Here is a 27563-nt window from a genome sequence, read left to right as displayed (position 1 = left end):
CTTGTGACTGAGTATGGTAGAAGGGGAAATAGGCCCTTATCACACCCACCCCAACACTCTTATGGGGAAGCTGAGGTTGAGCCCCTGTAGATCCATTTATTTTAGGCAGTATTTGGTTCTGAAGCAGTTGTTTCAGAAATTACCCCCTTGACCCATCAATAGTAGCTTTCAGCGGCTCTTCCAGGGTGGCCTTGTCTCTTTTAAATTTCATTTCCTGTTGGAAAGGATAGACAGGTAACTGGTTAATGCCAGTGACTGGACTCATGTAACAGAACACTGGGACCTGAGTGTGGCTGGGGAGCTGCTGTGGGACTGACAGGTGGAACACAGCAGCTGGGTGAAGAGGAAGGCATTAAAGCCCACCAAGAGATGGATTGTATTTTACTGCTTCTCCACGTGAGGGAACTTGCCCCACAGGAGGAGGGGATATGAATGCACTCAGTTGTCACAACAGACATGGTCCTTGGACCTGGCCCTGAGGCCTTGGTGGGAATCCTGGCACTTCCCCTCCATCAAATCCTTTAGCCCAAATGAGCCTCTGTTGCCTATCTGTTCTATTGCAAAGGGTGGTGTGAATTCAAATGATGCGTGCAACCTGCTTAGCAGGTGCCTCACGCCTGGTAGGCATTTACACACCATAACTGGGATTTGAACCCAAATAATTTAATGCCATGTTTCCTACTGCATGTTACCTACTGCATGGTGTTAGACAATAGATAAGGCAAACCCTGACTTTAAAGAGGCAGGCACGAAATAGATAATTTCAATACACCGAGGTAAGGATTCTGATCAAGATAGACATAGGCTAATACGGTACCCCATAATTTGGAGCACTGTTGATGTCATGGTCAAAGGGGTTGATGGAAGGATTTGTTAATCATCTGTCTCTTCCTCCAGGAGGTTCCAACAAGGAAGGAATACCACCTGTGTTATTCAGAAGTATGTCCATTAGGGGCACTGCGGGGAAATGGGGAAGGAGGGAATGTTCAAGGTGTGCTTAAGTAAAAGAGGGGTTAGCCAAGTGAAGAACAAACCCAGTCAGAGGAAGCTGCATGAACAAAGGTATAGAGGCTGGAAAGAGAATGGTATGTTTAGGGAATCGGAGGCAGATTATTGAAATAAATTGAATATTGAGTATGGGGACAGGAGGTAAGATAAGAAGAGTCAGTAGGGGTAAGACCATGGAGAATCTTGTGTTGCCAAGCTAAGAAGTATGTCACTTGTATGAATGAACACTAAAGTGTGGAAGGCCAGAAAGGGATGATTTATCAGAATCTAAGATGTCTACCCCAACCCTAAAATATGCCTGCCTTACCAGACTGTTGAAGTACGCATGATATTTTAATATCAAGCCCAAAGTAATAACCATATTAACCCAAAACAGCTATCACTTCTTACTCTCCAATGAGTTTATCAGATTTGCTGGCCAGGTGAATTTTCACAACAGCCCTATGCAGTAGGTGCTTTTCTTACCTCATCTTACAAATGAGAAGACCAAAGCAGATAGGTTGAGAGGCTTGCTAAAAGTCACACAGGAAACGCATAGTGGAGTCAAGATTCAAACCTAGTCAGTCACCCTGGCTCAAGTCCATTTTCTAAACCACCGTATTATCTCAAATCTGTCTCCCAGATCACTACTATTCTTGACCTGAGTGTATCACTTTAAGACCATTTGATAAACTTCTAATTTCCATAGCTCTATTCTTCAATTATATAATTTTGATTTAGTTATTTTGAAATATGCCTTTTTTGTCATATTATCTTGCATTTGCCCCATGGTTTCTACTTTTTCACCATGAAACGTTTTAAACATATATACTCTCTCAAATTGGTCCACTGTGTTTAGTTTCTAAGGTATGAGCTTTTCCATGTGTTTTGTCTGCTAACCCTTACTAATGGTGGCTTTCTTCCCCTCCCTTGTATGCATTATAATTTTTTAAAGTAAGCTCAACATCAGCAGGAGTTTGCCATTGTTGTTTTGTGGTTTTCATTTTTAAAATTTTGTCTTTGGTGGAAAACCTTCATGCATGAGGATGTTGAGACATTTTTAAGAGCTGGTTTTAGGTTTGCTGCTGTCAGTGTCTCCTAGTTTAATCAATTCCAGGCCAAGTTTTTATGTTACCATCTTGGTTTGTGGCTTGTGCAATACCTGAGAAGAACCTCAACCCCACTCCCACATGTAGTACAGGCTGAGGTTTTGATTTCTCCTGGGTGATCCCAATGGCCCAAGGTGCTTCATAGATTTCTGTATCACATCCTCAGCAGAATTTTCCTTATTTCATACTTAGGCCAGTCATTCTTCATTCATATCCTAACGCAGGGAGTTTGTTTCCTGTGGCTCCAACTCTTATCCCCATGGGATACCAAAACTCTAGGCCTTAGAGAGTACCCATAGTTTTCAAATTATCATGGACTCTTTTGCTTAATTCCTCCTCAAAGATCATTGTACTAGTATTGAACTTGTTCTTCATTTCTGGAACCTAGGGATTTCACCTCTTTGTGTACCAGCTTGGCAATGGATTATTTTCTTCATTGTATATTTCACTAGTATCTCTCTGTGATTGGAAGAAGTGTCTCTTGAAAGCTCAATCTACCAAATTGACCAGAAGGCTTTGATTATGCATTTAGCTATCAGTCTTTCCAAATAGTCTCTGAGTTCATGGAGGACAGGGGCCTTTGCCTGGTTTATCTTTATATCCTAATTTTCATAGAGTTCCTAGACCAGAGTAGGAATCGATAAGGTTTTGATCAACAAATGATCTTCCTCTCTCATTCAAAATGGAAATTAAAGAATATACACTAATTACCTTCTAGAGAAAGATGATGCCAAGCATCCTCGTACCTCCAGAAAGCCATCCATACTCTCTGGAAGTCTGTGTTGAACAAATAAAGGAGTCTGGGGCCTGCCTTTATCCTTCCCTTCAGCCAGCAGGTTCATACTATTGACACCACTACTTTCTTAATGGGCAACTACTACTAATTACAGTGCTGGTCTGGTAGAAATTCCAAGTCTGGCAGGCTGGGTTCTAGACTGCTGGCTCTGCTGCCTTTCTTAGCACACATTGATGCTTTTCTATTGCCATAACTGGAATCTGATCAATAACATGCAGTGTGCAATGATATAATTTTTCTGTTGGCACCATAAGGAACTTGCAGAATAAGTTCACAAAAAAGCACCCAGCACAGTGCCTGGCACAGAGCAGGTACTAAGTTAATGTTCAGGGTCTTTTATTTCTTCTTTTCCATTAAACATATTCTATAAATATTTGTTGAAAATCTGCTTTCTAGGCATTGTGGTTGATGCTGGAGGTGGAGAGGAGTAACATGGAGTGCCTGATTTAATATTTAATAGAAAAATAATGTCAGGTCAAATTTGGCAATAGAAAAAATATTCTAAATGTCCTTTGATTTAAGGTGAAAAGACATCTCACTTCATTCCACCATCCTAAAGTGCCTAGTAAAGTATAACCAGCAAAATAACTTCACCCATTGCTGTTTTATAAAATAAACTTATCTCTTCTCAGAGAGGAAATACAACTTACAGTGAATGTATTAGTAGATGTATTAGTTTGTTCTCATGCTGCTATAAAGAACTGCCCAAGACTGGGTAATTTATAAAGGAAAGAGGTTTAATTGACTCACAGTTCTACATGGCTGGGGAGGTCTCAGGAAAGTTACAATCATGACAGAAGGCACCTCTTCACAGGGCGGCAGGGGAGAGAATGAGTGCCCAGCGAAGGAGGAAGCCCCTTATAAAACCATCAGATCTCATGAGAACTAACTCATTATTATGAGAACAGGATGGGGGAAACCACCCTCATGATTCAATTATCTCCACCTGGTCCCTCTCACAACACGTAGGGATTATGGGAACTACAATTCAAGATGAGATTTGGGTGGGGACACAACCAAACTATGTCAGTAGACAATAGAGAGCTAATCATAAAAGACCATTTATGACAATGACTTTTGAGCTCCCTTTACCACTGTAATCTCAGAACCTTGAATCATGCCTGAACTAAAGTAGAAACTCAGTAAGTTTGCTGAATGTATTTGCACACAAATATGTATGGCTATGGCTTCTCACCAGGTAAGATGTGACTCATCATTCCACACACATTTATTGAGAATTTCCTACAAATAAGAGTTTGTGCTAGATTTTGTGATGGAGACCAAAAAAAAAAAAAAGTAAGATAGAAACCCTCCTACAAGGAACTTCTAAGCTTAAGGGTGAGATAAGTATATAAATCACCATAACATCATATAGAAAATGTGAAGAGAAGAACAGAGAAGAAAGAGAGCTATGGGAGTTTCAAAGAGGGAAAGGCCACTTCCAGCTGGAGGGATTAGACAAGACTGGATAATGTAAATTTTATGCTTGGTCTTGAGGGAGAAGTAATTTGTTGCCTTGCAAAAGGGGGAGAATGAGTATTGGCAAAGAAGAGAAGGCAATCCAGGTGAAAAGGTGAGAGCAGAGAGGCAGAAAAGCACAGGATGTATAAGAAGAAATCGAAATTTGGCTGGAAATGCATAAAGGGGAATAAAGATAACTAAGGCTAGAAAGGTAGATTGAGCCAGACTGCAGAGGTTTTGAATGTGTCCTGATGTACCACTCCAGGACATAGGGTCTTTATAAAATACCCAATGCTTAACATATGGCGGGGCTTAATTAATGCTAAACAACAATCTCCTAGCAGAAACCTGTTCCCCACGTGCACAAAGGAAGCTGCCATCCTTATGCACAGGCAATTACAAACATTCCAGATACTCGGTCCTGAACCCTGCAAGCACATCAAATGCTCATCGTGAAAGGTCACCGAGCAAACAGCTCTGATGAATCCTGGCTTGGGCTGAATCAAATCCCCTAAATAAGATCCACTAGATGTAGTGTCAGAAAGGTCAGAAATGACCCTATTTCACATCTTGAAGCATTTTTACCATGTGGAACATTTTAGAGGAAGAAGAAAAAGGAACGAGGGGGGGAAAGAAACTCTCCAGAAATAATAGAATCCCAAGTAATTCAATGTTAAATGATCACAAAGTAAGCTGGGGATTTATTTTGGCCCCCACCTCCTTGCAGTGATCTGAAAAACAGTTGATTTCAAAGAAGGTCATGCCAGGATTAAAAACAGTTCCACACCTCTTTCCTCGCCTCCCCTGTGTGCCCCCACTGTGTACCTTTGTTGAGTTCACTTGAGATGTTCCATGATGAGGTAGGCACTAATTCAGCACTGACTGACAGCTCTGTTTCTGAAAAGAAAAAGAAGGGAAGGGAGAAAGACAAGGGCAATATTAAATATAGTAATTTATAGGCTGTTAGAAGCATTAGAGGAGATTTCCAAAGGGCCTGCCTTTGGAGAGAGACCACGGCAATCCCATAGCTTATTAGACTGGAATGGTGGCTCTAGATGCCAGTAGAGGCGCCTGCATTTTAGATGCCATCCAAATGAACAATCTATTGGCCAGATTTGAAGATTTTTACTTCAAAACACTGGCTTGAAAATTAAAATGTAAAATATTACATTAACCCTCTCAACATCACTTACCACCAGAGAAATGCAAATCAAAACCACAATGAGATGCCATCTCATACTAGTCAGAATGGCTATCATTAAAAAGTCACGCTGGGCACAGTGGCTCACACCTGTAATACCAGCACTTTGGGAGGCCGAGGCAGGTGGATCACAAGGTCAGGAGTTCGAGACCAGCCTGACCAACATGATGAAACCCCGTCTCTACTAAAAATACAAAAATTAGCCCTGCCTGGTGGCATGCACCTGTAATCCCAGCTACTCAGGAGGCTGAGGCAGGAGAATCGCTTGAACCTGGGAGGCGGAGGTTGCAGTGAGCTGAAATGGTGCCACTGAAATCCAGCCTGGCTGACATAGCGAGACTCCATCTCAAAAAAAACAAAAAAAGTCAAAAAATAACAGATGCTGGCAAGGATGCAGAGAAAACGGAATGCTAATACACTGTTGGGGGAATGTAAATTAGTTCCACCACTGTGGAAAACAGTTGGGAGATTTCTCAAAGAGCTAAAAATAGACCTACCATTCAACCCAGCAATCACATTACAAGGTATATACCCCAAAGAAAATAAATTATTCTACCAAAAAGACACCTGCATCATATGTTCATCACAGCACTATTCATAATAGCGAAGACATGGAATCAACCTAGGTGCCCATCAACAGAGGACTGGATAAAGAGAATGTGGTACATATATACCATGGAATACTATGTAGCCATAAAAATAATGAAATCATGTCCTTTGTAGCAACATGGATGCAGATGGAGGCCATTAGCCTAAGTGAATTAACAGAGAAGCAGAAAACCAAATATCATGTGTTCTCACTTATAAGTGGGAGTAAAATCATAGGTACCATGGATAGGAGCAATAGACACTGGAATTACAAAAGGATAGAGGGAGTGGGGCAAGGGTTGAAAAACTACCTATTGGGTAGTATGTTCACTATCTGGGTGATGGGATCAATGGAAGCCCAAACCTCAGGATCATGCAATATACTCTCACAACAAGCCTGTACATGTACCCTCTGAATCTAAAATAAAAATGGAAATTGCAAAAAAAAAAAAAAAAGAACAAGGGCAAAATACACCTCGCCCCTAAAATACTACATTAACAAGAAAACAAATCTGCAGAAATGACCACACATAATCAAACATAAACTCCTTTTCTTGTTGAAAGACCAGTCTTAGACTAATAAATTTAATAGCCTTCCTAAGGAAGAACAACATTGCTCCTGTAACTAATTTCACTGGTCGTGTTTGGAATTGTTACCATTTCTGTGAATAGAGAAATTCGTTTCTCTACATTGGAATTTTAGGTCAAGACAAATGAAAGCTAAGTATTTGAATATAGAGAGTCATTTGTGGTAAATAACTTAAAATATAATTTTCAAAGCCATCATGAATCAAAGCAAACATACAAATCAATAATCTAAAGGACATAATACACTATGAAGTACTTATGGACTGTTAGAAGTACTTACGGGCTGTTAAAACTCTTTAATAATAGACTGTAATATACAAATAATCTTGGTTGTTGTTCTTGTTTTTTGAAAATTTAATCCACGCTACTAATATATTGTAATGGGGTTATACTAACCTCCCCTCAGGCTATGTCTACACACACACACACACACACACACACACACACTCAGAACATTACTAGAGAATATTAGGGCTGGACAGGACCTTAGAGGACCCAGGGTCATTAGCTATAAGGCATACAAGTTGTCAATCCCTCCTACTTCAATCCAGTGTAGGCATCTTTAATCAATTATGGCTCTGTTTACCTGTTAAGCCTGGGATCTGTCGTAGAGTCCTTTAAGCACAGTGCTCTAGGTAGCCACTAAAAATTGATCTGAGATAGAATGCAGGATGAACTTTATTAAGTGGAAGAATTGCAATTCAAACCCAGGTCTCTTTGACTCTAGCACTCCACACCTTCTGGCAGCCCATGCTGACCAGTACTCAAGCCTGTAAAACCTGGCTTTTTTTTTTCACCTTACCTCTGGCCTCACCTTTTCACAGAGATAAGCACATTTTTCGTATTTCCATATTTACTGATGGTGACTGTCTGCCAAATGGCCACATGTCATCGTCACTGACTAAGCTTGAACAAGAACAGGATGTTGACTCACTGAGACCTTGCAAAGGCATACTTCTAGTTTATCTCCCTGCCACAGCAGAGACAAAAGGATTGTTTGGTTTGTGCAGACCTCCTTGGCTTACCTCTTTCCTAGTCCTAGAAGCAGGTGGGAAAGAAGTAGATGAACCACACATACCCTCCCCACCTACAGTGGCCCTGGTTTCCTCCAACGTCCTGAGCCAAAAATAGCATAGACTCTTTCAAGGGGACCAGATGTCAGATAGGCAGTATGGCAGGGATCTTAATTCCAAAATATGAAAACAAAAAGAAAATTTTACCCAAGTAGGAGAAATGCTTACTACAAAGCCACAGTGGAAAGCAGTGCTTCTGTTATCAACCTCTTGTTTGGGGAACGGGTATTTCGTGCAGGTGCTTTCCCCAGAAGAGCTAATTGTCTACATTTCAGGGCCCTCCACATATGACTCCAACCCCAACTCCAGTCTGAGCCCCATGCTGCTGCCACCCACTTTGGCTCTTTCAATAATGACAGCCCTTGTTTTCAGTAGTATGGACTGCTGCGGTTCACCTATGAAAAGGCTCATCAAACACCCCGACACCCAGACTTCAGGGAGCTTGGGAATAGAAGGTTGGCAGCCAAGGCGGCATTTCAGGGAAGGAAGCATAGGTTGGAAAGTGGTGGGATTAAAATGAACCTTGACAGCATTTACATGCAATATTTTCATAGCTTCATCTTACTGCTGCTCACAGCCAGAAATATAGTTTCATTTTACAGTGTTAATTTTATAGACAGTTAGCTATATGTCACTTGGTTTTTCCAAGCTGAGTTGAATTGCTGATTGAATATAATTTGGGACCAATGACAAATGAATAGATTCTTGGCACTGCTAACACTGAAATTGTTCCCCACGTGTCCCTGGACACTAATTACCACTCAGTTCTTGGGCTGTAGCAAAGATAATTTCAATTCGCAAGCTCATTAAGTGATTGTGCTGATTCTGGGGAGTTTTGTTCTCAACTTCAAGATCCATTCCTTTAGATAACCACGTGTTCAGCTTCTCAGATAAAATGATAATAAAAACAGATAAAATATTTTAAAATATGAATAACTTCCCTGAAAAATAATATCTTCCAAGGCCATATTTTTTTAAAATAAAGGCTGATTATTTTATGTAGAAAGTTGAATATTAATAATCTCCCCTCACAAAGTGATGTTTAATAAGCTTTTTTTCTTCACTGAAAGGAAAACTGAAGTTTAAGTGAGAAAAATCAAGCACATCTCAGCTGAACTCCATCAATTCCATGGCCACCAGTGGCTTCAGAGAGAGACACGGCCACAAGTTTTGACCCTGTAGGATCTCCACTGATGGATTCCTATTCGCCTCACCACTGGCAAAAGCATGAGACATTTCCAGGTATATTTACCACCAGCCTGGCAGCCTCTCTTCACCAAAAGCATTATGGTAATAGCAAATGTGTATGTGCCATTTAGAAGACAGTAGACTATTTAATGGAAATACACACCAGATTTTAACACTACTATCTGACACTTATTAATTTTGTGATCATGAGAAAGTTACTGAACATCATTTAACTTCTATTTTCTCATCCATAAAATGGGAGCAGCAAAGGACTGAGGTAATGATTAACTAATGGACCAAAAGACTCCTGTACAGTGTCCAGCATAGAGACTCAAGGGCTTTCATACCTCTCCTTTGTCTAGTAAGGCAGACAGTGGCCATCCTCTGCATGGATGTACTTGGTTAGCTACTAAGTCACTGTCTGTATTTGAAATAACACATTTACCATGCTCTTAGAAAGACACTGCATTTCACATGCCTCACTAATCCAAGCCAGTCTTTTCATTTTGTGAGGTTTTCCTGAATTGGTCACCAGTTCTCTAAGAACATAAGTGTTTTTATATGGTTTTATCCAATTTGAGCAAACCAAGCATGTTTTAGAAAACTCCAACCCTTATCTTTCTCGACCTCTTTTAGGAGGGCAAACCTCAAAAGCTATTCTCCTCCCGATTTGATCAATAGGGGCTATTATCTTTGCAGTTTCTCGGAGGATTGACTTTTTGGCACTGATTCTGCAAACCATAAGGTTTTGGTATTTAAGCCTCAACAGTGGGAGTGTTATTTGGAAGGAAGGAAAAAGTAAGCCTTGAATCCTCCTCATTGATAAAAGCCTGTGCTCTCCGAAAGGATTACTGGTTCATCTCAGCAGTTGGCAGGTAAAGACCCAACATTCACAGGATGTGGAGGCCCTTCCAAGAAGCTCCCAGCCATGCCACATCCTGTATCCCCGATTCAGTGATGCGTGAGGTTACACAGGCATGCGCATACTCACAAGACCAGCGGCCAGCCCAGTAGCTGCAAAGGCTGAATGCAAGAGAAGCAAGTGGCTACCCCACTGCCTTTCTTGACCACTCACTGAGTCCTAGAATGTTATAACTGGGTGGGCCCTCAAGGCCCAAGACATATTTATCAAATTATATTCTTTGGATCCATGGGATTTTTTGGAGCTATTTATAGAGGAACATAAGAGGATTTGGGGTTCCAGAGGACAAGAGTACAGGCTCTAGACCCTCCTTCAAAAGGAACAACTCTACTTTTATCTATTTTATATATTGTTGTGTTTACAGGTACTGTGGAAAATGCCCCAATGTTTTAAACAATTGTTTAAAACATTATGTCATACAATCTCCTCATTTTTCAGAGGAAGCAAGTGAGGCCCCTGGTAGGGAAGTGGCTTCGCCAAAATCACAGAAGTTCTAAGATAGAGCCAGACTTTAGAGGTGGCTCAAAAGGAAATACATGCTGACTTCTCACTGAGCTGCATGTTCTGCCGTGTATAGCCATAAGATGTGGTATGTATTCTCAGAGGCCGAGCTTTGAGAGACACTCAAGGAATTTCCAAGCAGCCAGGGTCAGTCACATAGAAGGGGCACACTTTCTTCCTATGGTAAAAGAAGGCCTCCACTTGTGATCATTTGGAGGGTGGCGGGAAAACAGTCAAAGATGCTGATGGCTTTGAGACTGTTGGTTTTCAGTGTTACTTTAGATGTTGTTTGGTGAAGGCTTTTAGCCCTGTTTCTTTCCTCTCCCTAGTGCCTCAATGGAGACGCCCATAGCCAGGTAAATCACCTCAACCAAAGGCGCCTGTTTGGAAAAGTAAGAGTCTGCTGTAACTTAAAAGGACAGGCAGGCTACATTCCCCAGTAGTGCAAGGTCAGTCAACCTGAGCCATGCTCTAGCCCTAGGCTCACAATTGCCCCACATCTGGGGTCCTGAAGGAGGGGGCCTCTCCACACTAGGGACTCGGCTGACTTACTGAGGAGAGAGAAAATTTGGAGTTTTCTTCATCCTATATGGGATAGTCAGGACTGGAAAGTACTATGCTCAATGTCTACAAGGATCTTCTAGTCCTCAGTGACCTCAAATTTGGATTTCTGATGCAATCTCTAAATGAAGTTATCAATATAGTCACAAAGAAAGAAGATGGCACAATCCTGCAACTTTAAACCCCTGCTCAATTACCCAGTCACACTACCTATATTGCAGTACGAAATCACTTTTTAACCATGTAATTACATTGTAATCAGCATAATTCTTATATATGTGATGAATCCATTACTTTGTTGAAGAAAAATTCATAATATATCAAAATTTGTGCTATTATTTGTATTGTTATATGGTGAGATCTGCAGGAAAAAAAAGAAAAAGAAAAAAAAGGAAGGAAAAGGTGCCTAGGTTTTGTCAAAGTCCAAAAGACTCTGCTTGTGCTCAGAGATCTTCTCAACCGTCAACAGTCTATAAGGTAGGTACCTTTATTATCTTCATTTTATGATTGATGAACCTGAGGCAGAATGAAGGCAGCTGCCCAATCAGCTTGTCAGGGTAGGGAGGGGGATCATCATCAAATCCAGGAAGACTGAGGGCAAAGCCAGAGCATCTTCAACTGTGCCACATGGGGGATGGGGGAAGGAGCTGAGAGACATAACCACTTGCTCCCTGGCTTAAACCCCCTTCAGCCCCAGAGGTCCCCTGTGGAACTCTAAGCTCTGCAGTACATAGCTGGAGAACCAATACCAGAGGCCAAGCTCCTCAACGATCAATGTTTGTTTCACCAATTCTAAAATCCCCAAAGGATGGCACAGCACAAGGTGAGGAGAGGAAATACTTCTTGAATCACACTTAAATGCCTTTTTTTTTCCTCTTTGGAGATGCTGTTCCTTTTTTAAAATCTATTAAATTCAACCTATAGACCACATGCAGTTCTTGTATTTAAAGAAACTATGCTACAAAAAGCACCACAATGACACACATCTTTAAAGTGAATAAAAATAGACTGTATTCTTGAAAACTATATTACTTTAAAACTATCATACTTGGGCTCTCTTCCATGGAACTATAGAGATTGACTTATTCATTCATTATATATGCATATGTATTAGCACTTTCTATGTGTAAGAACTCGGATGAAAAAGCTCGAACCAGGCCGGGCGCAATGGCTCACGCCTGTAATCCCAGCACTTTAGGAGGCTAGGATCACAAGGTCAGGAGATCGAGATCATCCTGGCCAACATGGTGAAACCCCGTCTCTACTGAAAATACAAAAATTAGCTGGGCGTGGTGGTGCATGCCTGTAATCCCAGCTACTCGGGAGGCTGAGGCAGGAGAATCGCTTGAACCAGGGAGTCAGAGGTTGCAGCGAGCCAAGACTGTGCCACTGCACTCCAGCCTGGTGACAGAGCGAGACTCCGTCTCAAAAAAAAAAAAAAAAAAAAAGGTTGAACTGGTCCCTAACACCTTCTAAAACCTTACAGTCTGGTGGGAGAGGAGTACATGACCACAAACAGGCAATTATAAACAGCGTGATGGGGTTAACAATAAGACCTGACAAAAACAGCCTCCCTGTCCCCTAGCCACCACCCCCACCACAACGAGACTAAAAACTTGAAGAGTACTGAATAAAATGTCACAAGGAAATATATGATGCATAGCTGAGATGGAAAGAAAAGGAAATTCTTGGTGCCAAAAAGGATAACACAAAGTGGACGCCGATGCTGAAGGTGCCTATGAATATGGGCCCTGTGGACTGGGGCCTGCAGTTTTAATGTTCATTTAATAATCCAAGATGTAGCCCTAGGCCAGAGCGAAATCTGAGCTCCCTGCCTAAAGTCTTTACTAGAGCCTGGGAGAGCCGCCCTACCTGTGGGAAGGTGCTGGAAATACTTCTCCTAACAGTCCAGAGAAGCTGCTAGGACTCTTGAAAGTCCATTCAGGACTTGGGTGGGGTTGAGGGAAACGTCTCCATAAGACATCAAAAGCTGTGTAAAGACCAGAGAGATTCTGCACCCTTCACCCAGTTTCTCCCAATAGTTAACAGCTCACAGAATTATGGTATAATGTCAAAGCCAGGAATTTGACATTGTTAAAATATGTATATATAGTTCTGCCATTTCATTGCAAGCGTAGATTCGAGTAACCACTACCACAGTCAAGATAAAACAATTTTGTCACCACAAAGATTTCCTGTGTGCAACCCCTTTGCAGTCCTACCCATCTCCCTCCTCCCAACCATTCCTGACCACTGGCAACCACTAATCTGTTCTCCATTGCTATAATTTTGTTGTTTCAGGAATGTTGTATAAACAGACTCATTTAGTATGTGACCTTTTAAAAACTGGCTTCTTTTACTCAGCATAATGCCCTTGAGATTCATCTACTTTGTTGCATGTATCAATCGTTTGTTTGTTTTTATTGCTGTGTAGAGTATTCCATGGTATGGACATGCCACATTTTGTTTAACCATTCGCTGCAAACATTTGGTGGTTTCCATTTTCTGGCTGTTACAAATAAAGCTGTCATGAACCCATGCATAGACTTCTGTGCTAAATTATTCATTCCTGTAAAAAGGAAACTGCATTTAGAAGGAAGAGTTGTATGTAAGAAGCAATAATAAGCAAATACATTGGGAAATGTGTTTAATATTTTAAAATAAGCCATGGCTCTAAAAGTAAATATGTGATAAGAGGTAAATATGTGATCAGAGGTACAACAGAGGTAGGCACAGGGTTCTAAGACATCACTGAGGAAGAATACATATTCCCGTTTGGGGAGGAGGAATCCCAAAGGGCAGGAAGGTGGTCCTTTGAAAGATTGTTCTGGGTTAAGAGGAGACCTATGTATTAGAAAGACCATGGCACATTGGAGGAAGTGCAAATAACTCAGTAATGGTCTCACTCCACTACAGCCATAGCAACTTTTTCCAATCCAGGGCCTTCTAGTTCTTTTTGTCGTTATTTGTTTTGTTTGTTAAAGACAAGAAAGAAACATCCCAACTAGTTACTAAGGAGGCAGGATCTCCTTAGGGACAGTGGAAAGTCCTAAAATAAATTTCAAAATGGTTCATATCTTGCTTTTCCCCAAGGAGAAGTTCAAATGAGTGGACCCAAAGTTAACACTCCCTCATTCATCCATGGTGCCACTGGAGACTCAATGGATGCTTAATACAATAAAATAATTTGTTTATTTCTGGCCTCAGAAGAAGCTGGCAAAGACAGAGTATAAAAGGGAGGAGGCATGCTGCAGAATGCTTCGCTCAGAAACTGGTCTCAGCTCCCTACAGAGGTTCCATTTCATTTCCTTTCAGTAGCTGTGGACATCTCGGGTTTCCAATGACATCAACAAACTTTACTCTTTTTTTCCTATTTCCACTTGACTGCCCTTCCTTAAACATGCTTCCCCCAAAAAGTGCCTCCAGGCAATTTTTTCTTCTTACTCATCTTTCTGTGTCATCTGTCTTTGTCTTATGGAGTTTGCCATTTCATTTTCCCCTTTGTATGGCCCACGTACATTTTCATTTCATATTTTATAATCCATTTTATAATAAAAATCTATTACCTACTAATTGTCTCTGGCCAATTCAAAGTCACATGCCACTCAAAAGAAACAAGAGACACAAGGAAGATGCTTTCACAGCTGCAATTCCATGACAGACTGAGAGTTTGTTCTTGACTCTTTAAAAACAAGTGAAGTCTTGGTTAAGTCCTATACACAATGGGAATGAAGTTATACTGGGTGTTTCCTAAAGCCATAGTATATTAGCAGACAGTTTAGAAAACTATATTGCCACAAGGAGCTACACAACTCCTTATGTTCATTTGGAGTTTAATGATATTAAATTCATTTGTTTGTTCATTGATTTATCCATCCATCCATCCATCTAACAAATATTTATTGAGCACCTATTCTGTTCCAGACTAGCTAAGTGCTAGCCAGGTGCTAGGATATAATGGTGAACAAAATTGAGACAGTTCTTTACTTCATGGAGCTCATTTTCTGGTAGGAACACAGAGAAGCAAACAAAAAATTAAAGTATAATATGATAAATGCTGCAATAGGGGCCTGGGAAGGACAAAGGGCTTAGCACAGTTCTGGAGGATCTTGTCCTGACCAAAGATTTTGGTGATGAGGCTTATGTGGCTTATGGCAAACCAGATATTTAGATAGACATGGAATCCTGGATAATCTAATTTCTTCCTTTGAATAAAACAGAATTTTCCACCACAACTAAACAGTGAGCTGAGACCTGGTGAGGATAGCACCTCCCCAAGAAAGACTCCGATCTTCATAGAAAAGATGGTCTACAGTGGGTACATCTTCACCTGTCATAATCACGTATCTGTCTTTGCCTGCAAACTTGGATACTCAAAGGAGCCTTCTATTGGAAACAGAGAATGCCTCCCTCAGTTTTAGTGATTTGGCCTTGGCCATGTATACGTCTGTATTTCTGTATTAGTCTGTTTTCATGCTGCTGATAAAGACATACCCGAGACTGGGAAGAAAAACAGGTTTAATGGACTCACAATTCCACGTGGCTGGAGAGGCCTCGCAATCATGGAGGAAGGCGAAAGGTACTTCTTACAGTATGGCGTTGGCAAGAGAGGATGAGAGAGAAGCAAAAGTGGAAATCCCTTATAAAACCATCAGCTCTTGTGAGACTTAGTCACTACCACAAGAACAGTACAGGGGAAACCGTCCCCACGATTCAATTATCTCCCACTGGGTCCCTCAACACATGGAAATTATGAGAGTACAATTCAAGATGAGATTTGGGTGGGGACACAGAGCTAAACCATATCAACCTCCTAAATTGATTCTTCAATCAGAACTGAGTCTTTCTGGCTTTTATTTCCCTAGCAACATAAATATCTGCTGGGAATGGAGGGTTAGCCTAATGTACTTGTCTAAGACGTTCTAAACTTTCAGTTCCTTTTGTCTTTCTAGTTTACACTTAGCCCCTGAAAAAGATAAAATAATTGTCCATTCAACATGGTACTAGGTACAGGTTACATTATTTCTGCTCCAACCTGTGTGTTTAGAGACCAATGGCAAAATAGAATATGTAAAACAGAATATGTTGATGCACAAATTGCATCTCCTTGAAAGATTATAACACTGATATCAATAAAAATATTTTTCATGTTGGGACCTCAAACAGAAGGATGCTTCTGATTCACACTATGTTCAAATCACAGCAAAACAACCATGTAATTTAATAGGAAAGAAAATAAACCCCCTAATTCAATGATACTCAGTTTACTATTGAAAAGACAAAAAAAAAAAACCTTAAATTACCCTAATTTTCTACTTTACAATTTTCCACTTAATTTTATGTTCCTTTGGCCACCAGTGAGTATGTGTTCTTCCTTTCATTCTTCTCAGACAGTAAACTTCTTGAGAGGGAGGGTCATGTCTCATGCTTTCTTTGTGTCCTGCCTGACTACTAAATGATCCTGGAATAGGTTAGATGGGAGGCAGTTCAGCACAAGGATGAAAGGTGTCAGCTTTGTGTTGTTCAAACACAAATCCCAGCTCTGTTACACACCAGCTTAAAATTACTTCATACCTCTAAGACTCAGTTCCTCATTCATAAAATGGGCATAATAGTAATGACCTTGCAGGACTGTTATGAGGCTTAACTGGGATAATATTTGGAGATGACTTCAATGTCCAGCAGATGGTAAACTTTTAGCGAAGTAGCAGTTCTCACAATTGGGTAAAGACTTTTAAAAAAAAAAAACACTAATCATAGATACAGAAACTAACCATAGATACAGCCTGAAGAGTGTTTAATGTAATGATTCCCAAACTCAGCTGGGGAGCATGTTAAAAAAAATAATGATTTTTCGACCCCTGTCTCTAAACTATTGAATCTCCCTAGGTGAGTCTTAACATAACCTGCAGCCTAGCACCGATCCTCTACAAACCACCAGGGTAAGGAAACCCAGATAATATGTCTGTAAAAATAACTGAAAAACACAAAAAGCTTTAAATGAACTGAGAACTTTAATGTAATTTAAGAGTCTAGGGGAAAGGGAGTTAGCCAATTAAAATGTTACTTTTGCTTTTGTCATAAAATTTCAGTGTGGGCAGCAACCTCAACATTGAGACAGCTCAATGAATATTAACCAACAACAAAACTGGTACCTCTTGAACGTCTTTCAAAGCCAAATATTTAGGTCTAACTTGAAGGTTCTCTTAATTGGTTGACCACTGAATTAGACAACTATACTTTTACATAGAAAATTATTTTCCTGCAAAAAGCAGTGTGTAGTATTGTCTTAGCCTTTCTCTATTTTACATAGGATTTCAATGGCTGTGATGTCTGTGGAGCCCTCCATTATAAATGGGCAAATTGGGCAAGCCCTAAAAACGTGCAGCCATCCTACTCTAGGCATAGATGGGGAGAAAAACAAACCCCTTTTCAGCCTTGATTCTCAGCCACTTAAAGCATTTACAAAGAGAAGCCCACTTTGGCTGCAGTTGAGAAAGCTATTAAGATTCCAAGCACCTTACAGTAATACAAGTACCTTGTATTTAGGTAGCACTTTTCCTTTCAAGAAAGTCCGTACACAGAACAGACATTAGCTCATGACTCCACATGCAAAGGATCAAGGCCTGAGATAATCATACCCTGGTTGGACTTGAAGAAACCCAGACTCGGGCAGAGAACTTGCCTAAGGTCCCCTGACATGTCACCAACTGCCAGAACATAGCCATGATCTCTCCTCACCCAATCCTGGCTCCACTCAGGCTCTCTACTGCACTGCTGGTAAAGTCCCTTTCCCAGTTTTTGTTTTTGTCTAACCCCCTCTAGCGCACTGTTAATTCAATTATTTCAAAGCTCCAAACTGTGAGGCGTGAAAGGGGGGAAAAAAAGAACTATTTTCAGAAAAATATATTAAAAGTGTGATTTATACCTTCTGGCTGTCCCTGGAAATCAAGTGTTTAAGTTCATGGGATTGAGGGACTCCTGGATTAGTGGAAATTATCTTAATCAGAGAGATAAATTTAAGAGGATTACTATCATCCTGCAAGACAGTAAGATGGTTTTGCTCCAGCCATATTAGCCTGGGCGTGTAGAATCTGGATGGCTGGCAATGTTCAAATACTTAATTCACCTGAAATTGCACCAGTTTAAAATGTTTCGCCTGTCTGGACTGGGTTTCCTGCACCATGTCATTACTGATAGCCTGGGGAGATCAATAATCAAAGTTAAATCGAGGAAAACATTAGCAGAGCATAAGTTGGGACGAGAATCTCTTCCCAGAGCCTTTTAGTTTAATTTCTCCCTCTTCTGAAACCCCACAGTATTTTATCTGTTCCACTCTTAAGAGACTTTGCACTTTGTAAGGTGATCTACAGTTTCTTTGGGGGTACATCTTTTTAATAAGATTGTATGCTTCTTGAGGCTGGGGATGAGATTTTACTTTCTTCTACGTTACTCACAGTATCTCACAGTATCAATGTTGCACCAAACTCATAGTAGGTAGTCAATAGACGTTTTCTGAATGCATAGGTGATATGATAGCTGCATGCTCCCTATATTATCACATTTATTCCTATAAGGTAGTGTAGTAGACTATAAAATGCCCACAATTTATTCCTCCCTGTATCCACATCTTTTTGTATCTCCTCCAATGAAGAGGTGGAGTGTATTTCTGTACCATTGAATCTAGACTTGCTTTGGCTAATAGCATGTGCCGAGATCACCTTGGCTCAGTCCAGATCAGAGAACCGCCTAACCAATCTTTTTTGATAATAGCTATAATAATAAATAATAGCTCATTTATTCTTCAGCTAAATAAATGCTCATTGTTTTAAGACACTATATTTTGGGGTAATTTGTTATATAGAATTATTTGTGGGTAATACATGTCCATTTACAGATGAGAACTCTAAGGCTCAATGAGGTTAAGAACTAATCTAAAGCCATAGATTGACAAAGCCAAGATTTGAAATCCAGTCTTTCTGATTGCAAAGCCCATAATCATTCCACTAAATAAGCTGACCAGATTTCAAAAATCCTTGTGCATTCAGAAATAAGTTTGAGAAACTGAAGGCAAAAGACAAATGGAGGGAGGAACTTACTTTCATTGTTGTGAAGCGCTACGGAGAACTGCCTATTAGAGTCATCTTAGTCTGACAGGGTCTTGTGTTGGCAGCTCATTTAATCAAATTTGAGAGAGGCAAAAGTACAGGAGGTCTCTTTCAAACAATGATCCGGGAAGAATGATATTCTCACATCCAAAAGTACAGAGTTCAGCTAATAACAACTGCTATTTAAGCTTGGTGAGTTTGTCATTCCCTAATCCAGTATGTATTTTTTCATTATCTTATTAGAAAAAAAAATAATTTTCCATGTAATTAATTTTGCAACTCCTTTTCATTAGCCATCAACCTGCCAAGACTGTTCTGGCTTTTACATCTGATGGAAACAGTTTGACTTGGTTGCCGGGTGTCAATATCTACATCCAAAATGAAATGGCATTCCACCTGCAGCTTTTATAAACAACCTAGCTGTTTGTCGCTGCCTGCATAGGAACTTTCACAAAAATGCAAGACCACCTTTGGATTTGCCAAAGATCTGCCCATATGTGGAAAGGGAGGGCTCTCCCTCCTCCCACAGCTATCAGCATTTCAGGAGGCCTTTCCAGTCAACTGCAATGAACAGGAACGACCAAAGCTACTGTGCACTTGATGGATGAGGCAGCCTGTCTGATCCTGTGTATCTCCTTCTGAGATGGGCAACTTGATCTCTGGCTGATAAGAGGATGCTCAGAGGTGGTGTATACTTTTCCCATATGGAATGTGGTCATCCATTTTCAGTCAGGGATGACGGAGGTATTTGGGGGAATTTGCTGTGGCTGGTGGAAGCACTTGGGAGAGAGAAGCAATGCAATGAGTTTCACTTTACTACCTCTCCCTTAAGTTCATGTCACCGTCCCACACTGTGAGCTATTCCACTAGGAGGACCCTCTTCTTCAGGCCTTTCCCCACAAGCCTTCTCCATTGTCTGCATTTTTTCTGACCTGCTGCTTCAAGGTCCTTGTAGTGTGAAGACCTTTTCAAAGTTTGACACAAAAATCTATAAGCCTTTAAAAAGGTAATAAATTTGACCGTATTAACCATTTATGACTAGTGTTCCATTATTGGAAGGCTAAGCACGTGAGAGTTATTGATATCCTACTGCTCAAGGTCCCCGCCGAGGTCTGATTGCAAAAATTCAAAAAATTGCTACTTAGGCATAAATGGGTTATTAATATCAAAAGACATATGTCAAACTAGGGAGACAAAATTATTGCAGCTCAAAAGGCAAAGGGCTACAATATAGTAAGCAAAATTTCCTACCAATCAGAAAGAAAAAAAATCCAAGGAGGAAATAGATAAGTGGACAAAGGATATGAGTGCACAATTTACAGATAAGGAAATGTAAGTGGTCTTTAAACATATCAAACATGATAACCTGACTGATAATATAAAAAATGTTATATAAAACTTCAATGAGATGTTATTTCTCCCCAATCAGATTGGAAATATGAAGAGTTTGATAACTCACTATACTGAAAGGGATATGAACAATCAGGAACCCTTATATCAAAAGCAGCATAAATTGGTACAACTTGACAATATCTATGAAAGTTTAAAATGTTAATAACTGTGTGTACATCAATTCCACTTCTAGGAATTTAATCTGACAGATGCCCTCAAACATACATGAAATGATATTGTTACAACATTTTCATGGCAGTATTGTCTATAATATAAAATGATTGGAAACAACCTACTTGTCCAGCAATAGCAGACTACCTAAATAAATTATGGCTATCCAAAATTCACAATGAAATACAATGCAGCTGTTATAAAAAAACAAGGAAACTGTATGCACTGTATTTGGAACAATCACCAAAATAAATCATTAGGTTTAAAAATAAAAGCAAAGTACTCATAGTGTGTATACAACAATATAATTTATGCAAAAACAAAAATGTGCTTGTGTGTTCTTATACACAGATACATATGGAATGTATAATATGCATTATGTATGCATACTCTTACATGTATAAATATACATCTTTATAAAATATCTATAAAAGAGATGCCCCAAAATTGGGAACAGTGTCTACACCAGAGAAGGGGAACTGGTGGTTTCAAGTCAGGGGCAAGCAGGATGTTTTACTGTACATCTTTTTGCACTCTTAAAATTCTATACCATGTGCAAAATGGGAGAATTTTTATTAAAAAGAGTTCAATTCTCAAAGATTCCTCTGTCAAATGACAAGTGTTTCTTCTGAGGTATGCCCGGAGTTTTACGGGACTCCATAGAAAGAGCACCTCATAAGAGCGAGTAGGAGGGCAACAGAAATGAACATCTCAGGTTGCCAAGGGATACTGACTTTTGAGTTGAGTTTTAAGGATGAGTAGACATTAGAAATGTAGACAAAAGATTTTTCTGCCCCAGGGAGCCATACTAATTTGGGGAACTGTAAACAGTCACTTAGGTATCGCTGCATGTCCATATTTGTATATTTTGAGTACTGATCTTTAAATCCTTCGTGTTGGACACTTATTAGGTATCTAATATTTGCTGACTCTGACTGGCAGGCAGAAAAAGACATGGGTTAAGAGATGCAGAATCTACCCTAATGGCTCACAAATTCATAAGGGGTAGTTGTGACAGTAATGAGCAGGAAGAAGAGGCAGGAAGAAGAGGAGGAGGAGAACTTCAGCAAAGTCTACACTCATTAGCAGAGCAATCATACTAATAACATGCTATCTATCCATGAGAGTTTGCAAAGCACATTTATACATTTTCACAAACATTTGCTGATGTGTTATTATCTTCATTTTGGTGGTGACAAAACCAAGGATTAGAGGGTGATGTGCCAAATGTCACTGCTAAAAAGATGCCAAATTAAACTTGAACCAATAGTTCTTTCCCCTGTTCACCAGTGGCTTCTGTTTAAACTACCAGTAACTCAAGCCTTTTACTAGGATGTGTCTATACAGTCCATCTCTTTAAGCACAAATACCCTGAGCAGAAGTCTGCATTAAATAATTAACCTGGCCTGACACGGTGGCTCACGCCTGTAATCCCAGCACTTTGAGAGGCCAAGGCGGGTGGATCATGAGGTCAGGAGTTCAAGACCATCCTGGCCAACATGGTGAAACCTCATCCCTACCAAAAATACAAAAATTAACTGGGCGTGGTGGTGTGTGCCTGTAATCCCAGCTACTCGGGAGGCTGAGGCAGGAGAATCGCTTGAACCAGGGAGTCGGAAGTTGCAGTGAGCCGAGATTGCACCACTGCACTCCACCAGCCTGGCGACAGAGCAAGACTCCATCTCAAAAAATAAATAAATAAATAAATATAATAATAATAATAATAATTAACCTATTCCACAGATATTTGTTCCATTCTCTGCTATTTAATGTATCACACAGTACTAACAGACTCTGACATATACAAGGGTTGTCGGGTTTTTTTAAGTTCATAAAATAAAAACATGTATCAAAAGAAATTCTTCCCAAAAGTTACAATGTTAAAATATAAGGTCAGGGATTTTGGTCACACTAGACAGACATTACTACAGGTGTTTACATTCTCCTTTCCTATTCGTCACATTATGTTCTCCACACTGAATCATGAAATGTGAGTGGTAGAGTTAGTCAAGCGAGACAGGTGACAGAAGAGAGAAGGGTCATTGCATTTCATGACAACCACATTAGTGATGTTATACTGGCTTCTACAACACCCTTAAAGGTTAATAGCTACCTTCTTTGTTGCAAAGACACCTCTAGGCCTTTCTTTCTTCTCCTTAAAGAAACCCAACAGCATTAACTTCTGATGTTTTCCAACTTCCCCAGGTGGCAGATCACAAATAATTAATGTAAGAAAAGTGAAGTCTACCACACAGATAAACCAAACATAGCCCAAATTAGACCTGGAAGACAACAGGCCCATATGGGTGAAGAAGACCTGCCTCTTTCTGTCTTTCCTTGGAAATTGGTTATTTTTCTACGCCACCAAGTAATGCCTTTGTTGGGGTCTCACCAGGCAGTGTGGCATCATTCCAAATGCATATATGGCAAACAGGCAAACTAAGAAGGGACCACTTTGCCTTGACTTTGCAAAATAAGATCTGCATATCAGCAATCTGGCAACTGCACATATCTGAAAAATGGCTGTGATCTATAATATTTTTACAGCTTGTCAGTGTTCTGAGTGGTTAATGTAGAAGTCACAAAACTCATGCCATAAAGCTCATGTATGTCCATCATAAGTAAATCTACCAGTCCTTTACTAAAGATAGGGCTTTTAGGCTGGGCACGGTGGCTCAGTCTATAATTCTAGCACTTTGGGAGGCCAAGTCAGAAGGATCTTTTGGGGCCAGGAGTTCAAGACCAGCTTAGATAGCATAGTGAGACCCTGACTCTACAAAAAAGCAAAACAAAACAAAACAAAACAAAAAACAAACAAACAAAAAACCCTGGCATGGTGTCATGCACCTGTGGTCCAAGCTATTCAGGAGCCTGAGGCAGGAGGATCACTTGAACCCAGGAGTTCAAGGTTATAGTGAGCTGTTATTGCACCATTGCACTCCAGTCTAATAAATAAACAATTTTTAAAAGACAGAGTTTTTCATTTATACATAGTTTTAATATGCCTTTCAACTATAATAGTGCCTTATATTAGGAGGATTCTGGGTACTCTATTAAAATGCCAAGAAATGAGTTACTCCTCCCTCTCCTTCACTTTTTGTTTTGTTTTTGTTCTATTTTTAAAGAAAGGAAGAGAATCTGGCTTTTACCTTTTTTTAATGTAAACACATAACATGTGTTTGGGAGGATAATACATGAGGAACTAGGTTTTCAAACACACAGTGGAGGAGCTGGGACAGAGCACCATTCAAATATTTTATCTTTGACAAAATTACAACTTCCCTTCTCAGGAATAGAGGTTTGGGATTTTTGTTTTTAAAGGTAAAAAGGTTCATAATAAAACTGAAAAGTCTTCTTGGATGTCAACGAGCTCATAAAGAAAAGACATTTAGATGAGTTAGGCATGTAAATCCAGAATTCTTTCAACTGCTTGGGAACTTTCAGAAACAGCACTGGTATTTCTAAGGCACTCTATTCACCCTCCTAAGGGCAAATTTAGAAACTGATAATTTCGCTTGGCATTGAAGAGTCCAGGAATTACAGGACAGGGTGGGGTGGAGTGAAGCCCTCCCTACACTTTCATGTCTGAAGACCCACGTTCAAAGTGCTCCTTGGAGTTCCAGCCAAAATACTCTCCCACTCTAGCCTTCTCTTCCTGGGCAAGTCTTTAGGTATTCCCTTCAGCAACAGAAAAGGCTCAAACTCTAGCCAATGCCCTCTGTGGTTTTTGTGATTGTGTCAGAAGACACAGCTCCATGTCTCAGAGCGAAACTGAATTTTATTTCAAAAGTACAGCCTTCATGCCTGCTGGGTGCTAGTGGGACCATGAGGAAGGTACACGGGAACAGGTAGTCCTTGGTCTCTCTTAAGGAGCTGACAGGAGAGAAAAAACAAAATGGAGAAAATTTGAAATTATAATTGATCCTAAACTCAATGAAAGCAAGTGCTTTAGACATCAAGCACTCTGAGCAATGAGGAAGGGGAGAGGTTGAGTAAGAGATGGAAGCCATGGCCAAGGGCTCAATGTGTTGAACTGATTGAGAGACGCATATCCATGCATCTGTTCTTTCATGTGGACATCACAGTTTGGCAGGAAAGCCAAAATAAGGGGAGAGATGGTGTGATTTCCAATTATCCTATTCTACTAGACTGTAGTCCAGAATTGACTGATATACATGATGAGAGATCTAGAAACCACATCATTTAAGAAACAGTTGAAGGAAACCAGAGTGTTCGACCAAAGCAAGAGAAGACTAGTGAATACTTGATAGCTGCCTTCAAATATCAGACAGGTGACATGTGGGAGGGGGATATTATTTATCATGTGACATTGTAAAGAGCAGAGTCAGGAATGATGAATTAAAGGCAACTGTTACACAAGCTACAGGAGTTACACCAAAGTAGGTTTTAATTCAAAATGAAGAAGTCAGTCTAACATCAGAGTAGCCCTAAATTTAATGGACTAATCAATGACCACGAAAAAAACGAGAGCAAATATTCACTGATAGCCTCCTATTTTCAGATGGTGAACTAAGTATTTTTACATGAATTTTCTCATTTCATCCTCATAATTTTATAAAATTAATATTATCCATTACCCACATTTTCCAAAAAAACCCCTCAGGCTCAGAGAGAATAAATAATTTGTTCAAATTCCCACACCTAGTATGTGGCTGAGCCAGGTTTCAAAGCCAAAGTCCATGCCATTACAACGCTAAAGAGTTTAAAAAAAAAAAAAAACAAAAACAGAAAATGACAAGTGTTGGCAAAAATGTGGAGAAACTGGAATGCTTATGCACTGCTCGTAGGAATGTAAAATGGTACAGCCACTGTGGAAAACAATATGGCAGTTCCACAAAAAATTAAAAATAAAATTTCCATGTAATCTAGGAATTCCACTTCTGGAATTGCTTTTGGGAATATATACACAAAAGAATTGAAAGTAGGGACTCAAATATGCACACCCATACTCATGGCAGCATTTATAACAACCAAAAGGTAGAAGCAACCCAAATGTATATTGACAGATGAATGGATAAACAAAATGTGCATGTGCATACAATGTAATATTATTCAGCCTTAAAAAGGAAGAAAATTCTAGCACATGCTCTAACATGGATGAATCTTGACAATTATGATAACTGAAATAGGCCAGTCACAAAGGACAAATACTATATGATTCCACTTAAATGTGGCACATAGACTAGTCAAAATCATAGGGACAGAAAGTAGAATGATGGTTGCCAGGAGGCAGAGGCAGGGTGGGGTGGAATCGAGAGTTAGTGTTTAATGGGTCAGAGTTCTAGTTGGAGGAGATGAAAAATTTCTGGCATTGGATGGTGGTAATGATTACACAACAATGTGAAATGTACTTAACGCAGCTGAACTGCACACCTAAAATGGTTAAAAAGTAATTTTATGTTACATATGTTTAACCACAATTTTTTCTGAAAAAGGAGTGAGTTGCCCATGGCTAAAAGTATTCTAGAAGAGACTAGATGTCCATATGTCAGAGATACCAAGGAAGAAGTTATTTTCCAAGAAGGGGCTGGATTAAATGAATTCTGAGATCTCTTCCGACTTTAAAATTGTATGACAAGATAAGCACTTCATCAATTACGGAAGTAAAAAATTGTTTTATTTTTCCATAAAAATACAGACTACCTTTTATCCTGGAGCTTCCCAGCCTGGACCCTGAGACAGCTGGGTCCTGGAGTTGATTTACAATCAGATTCTCTCATTGTTTGTAAAGCACATTTCCAGAAAACCATTTTCAGTTCCATTTTAATGAGGAACAATTTGTTATTTTTTTTGGAAACTCCTGACTTCCATTGTTATAGAAAAGATACAAGAAAAGAAAATCTAGGTCTTGCAGTTCAAGAATTAATGAAGGCCCTGAAACAATTATGCCTTAAATATACAGAGGTCTTCTTAATGTAAATAGACTGTATTTCACAGCAAATCTTCTTAGAATAAGGAATCCATTTCAGCATGACAGAGTGGGCAATGCAGCAGGGCTACAGTCTGTACTCAATTTGCTATTTTACTTCCATTGACGTTGACTAATGTACAAATAGCCTGGCTTAAAGGATCTGGGAAACACTAGGTCACAGTGTGAAATATATGCTAATATAGCACAATTTATATAAAAATAGAGGAATGTAAATAGCTAACTGAAGCCAGAGGTAGTTGCTCCAGCCAAGTGGCGACTGAGGAACATTGATAATGCAAAGAGAATGTTGTTCTCGTTAAAACTTCTGAGAACAATACCCTCAGGTTTTCTTCCAGCTTCAATGCAATGATAAATTAAAACTGAATTTCTGCTGCTCTCTGAAAGCATGCATGTGTCTCTGCATTATGATTAGAATGACATGTTTAAATAATCTAACTTAAAAGTCACTATGATACAAAGATTAACATTCCCAGATCCCACAATTGAGGAGCTAACAGTACAGTGAAGATAAGCTGACAGCCCATATACCTTGAAAAAAGACCAAGTGCGTTAAGTTGGCAGGCAGTGTGACAGAGTGGAATAAGCACGGGTTAAAGACAATTGCTGTTTATTTAGTGCTTATGGGTCAGGCATGAAGATTTCACATGCATTATCTCATTTAATCCTCATGATGTGGGTTAAGAACCAGTACAACATGGAATATAATTCAGGCATTAATAAATTCCACTGACATAATTCTGCAGCAAAACTATGGCTGAGTCATCTATTAGCCCATTCCTGGGGTCAGGCAGCCTCTACTTGTTTCTGTAGGCTCTAATTGCTTGGATCTGTGTGACAGCATTCAAGGGAAAAGAGCAGAGGCAGAAACAACAGAAAAGCTATTGATGGATTCTGGGTAATTGAGGCAAAAAACCCAAAATTTAAGACCTAAAGTTGAAGTTGAAAATTACATGTCATTTATTAG

The 27563-nt window shown here is 39.8% G+C and overlaps 1 protein-coding gene across 4 annotated transcripts in view, besides 1 other annotated feature; it reads right to left on the bottom strand.

Annotated features, from left to right (window-relative positions):
- The window catches only part of ROR1 (receptor tyrosine kinase like orphan receptor 1), a 407482-nt gene that overhangs the window by 166944 nt on the left and 212975 nt on the right, over nt 1-27563 (bottom strand). For all 4 annotated transcript variants that reach the window (NM_005012.4, NM_001083592.2, XM_011541526.2 and 1 more), the window contains one exon: nt 5179-5250. In NM_005012.4, coding sequence (NP_005003.2) covers nt 5179-5250 — 72 coding nt within the window. Of the gene's footprint in view, nt 1-5178; nt 5251-27563 lie in introns of those variants that run through there.
- Nucleotides 7544-7838: an enhancer, noted in NCBI's record as "tiled region #8799; HepG2 Activating non-DNase unmatched - State 24:Quies, and K562 Activating DNase unmatched - State 9:DNaseU". NCBI's record gives its function as "activates a minimal TATA promoter and a strong SV40 promoter by Sharpr-MPRA in HepG2 and K562 cells {active_cell/tissue: HepG2 | K562}" and the evidence as "EXISTENCE:reporter gene assay evidence [ECO:0000049][PMID:27701403]".

This window comes from Homo sapiens, chromosome 1, assembly GCF_000001405.40.
Source record: "Homo sapiens chromosome 1, GRCh38.p14 Primary Assembly".
Taxonomy (NCBI): Eukaryota; Metazoa; Chordata; class Mammalia; order Primates; family Hominidae; genus Homo; species Homo sapiens.
The sequence above is the reverse complement of the archived record's forward strand: the minus strand, read 5'-3'. Positions and strand labels throughout refer to the sequence as shown.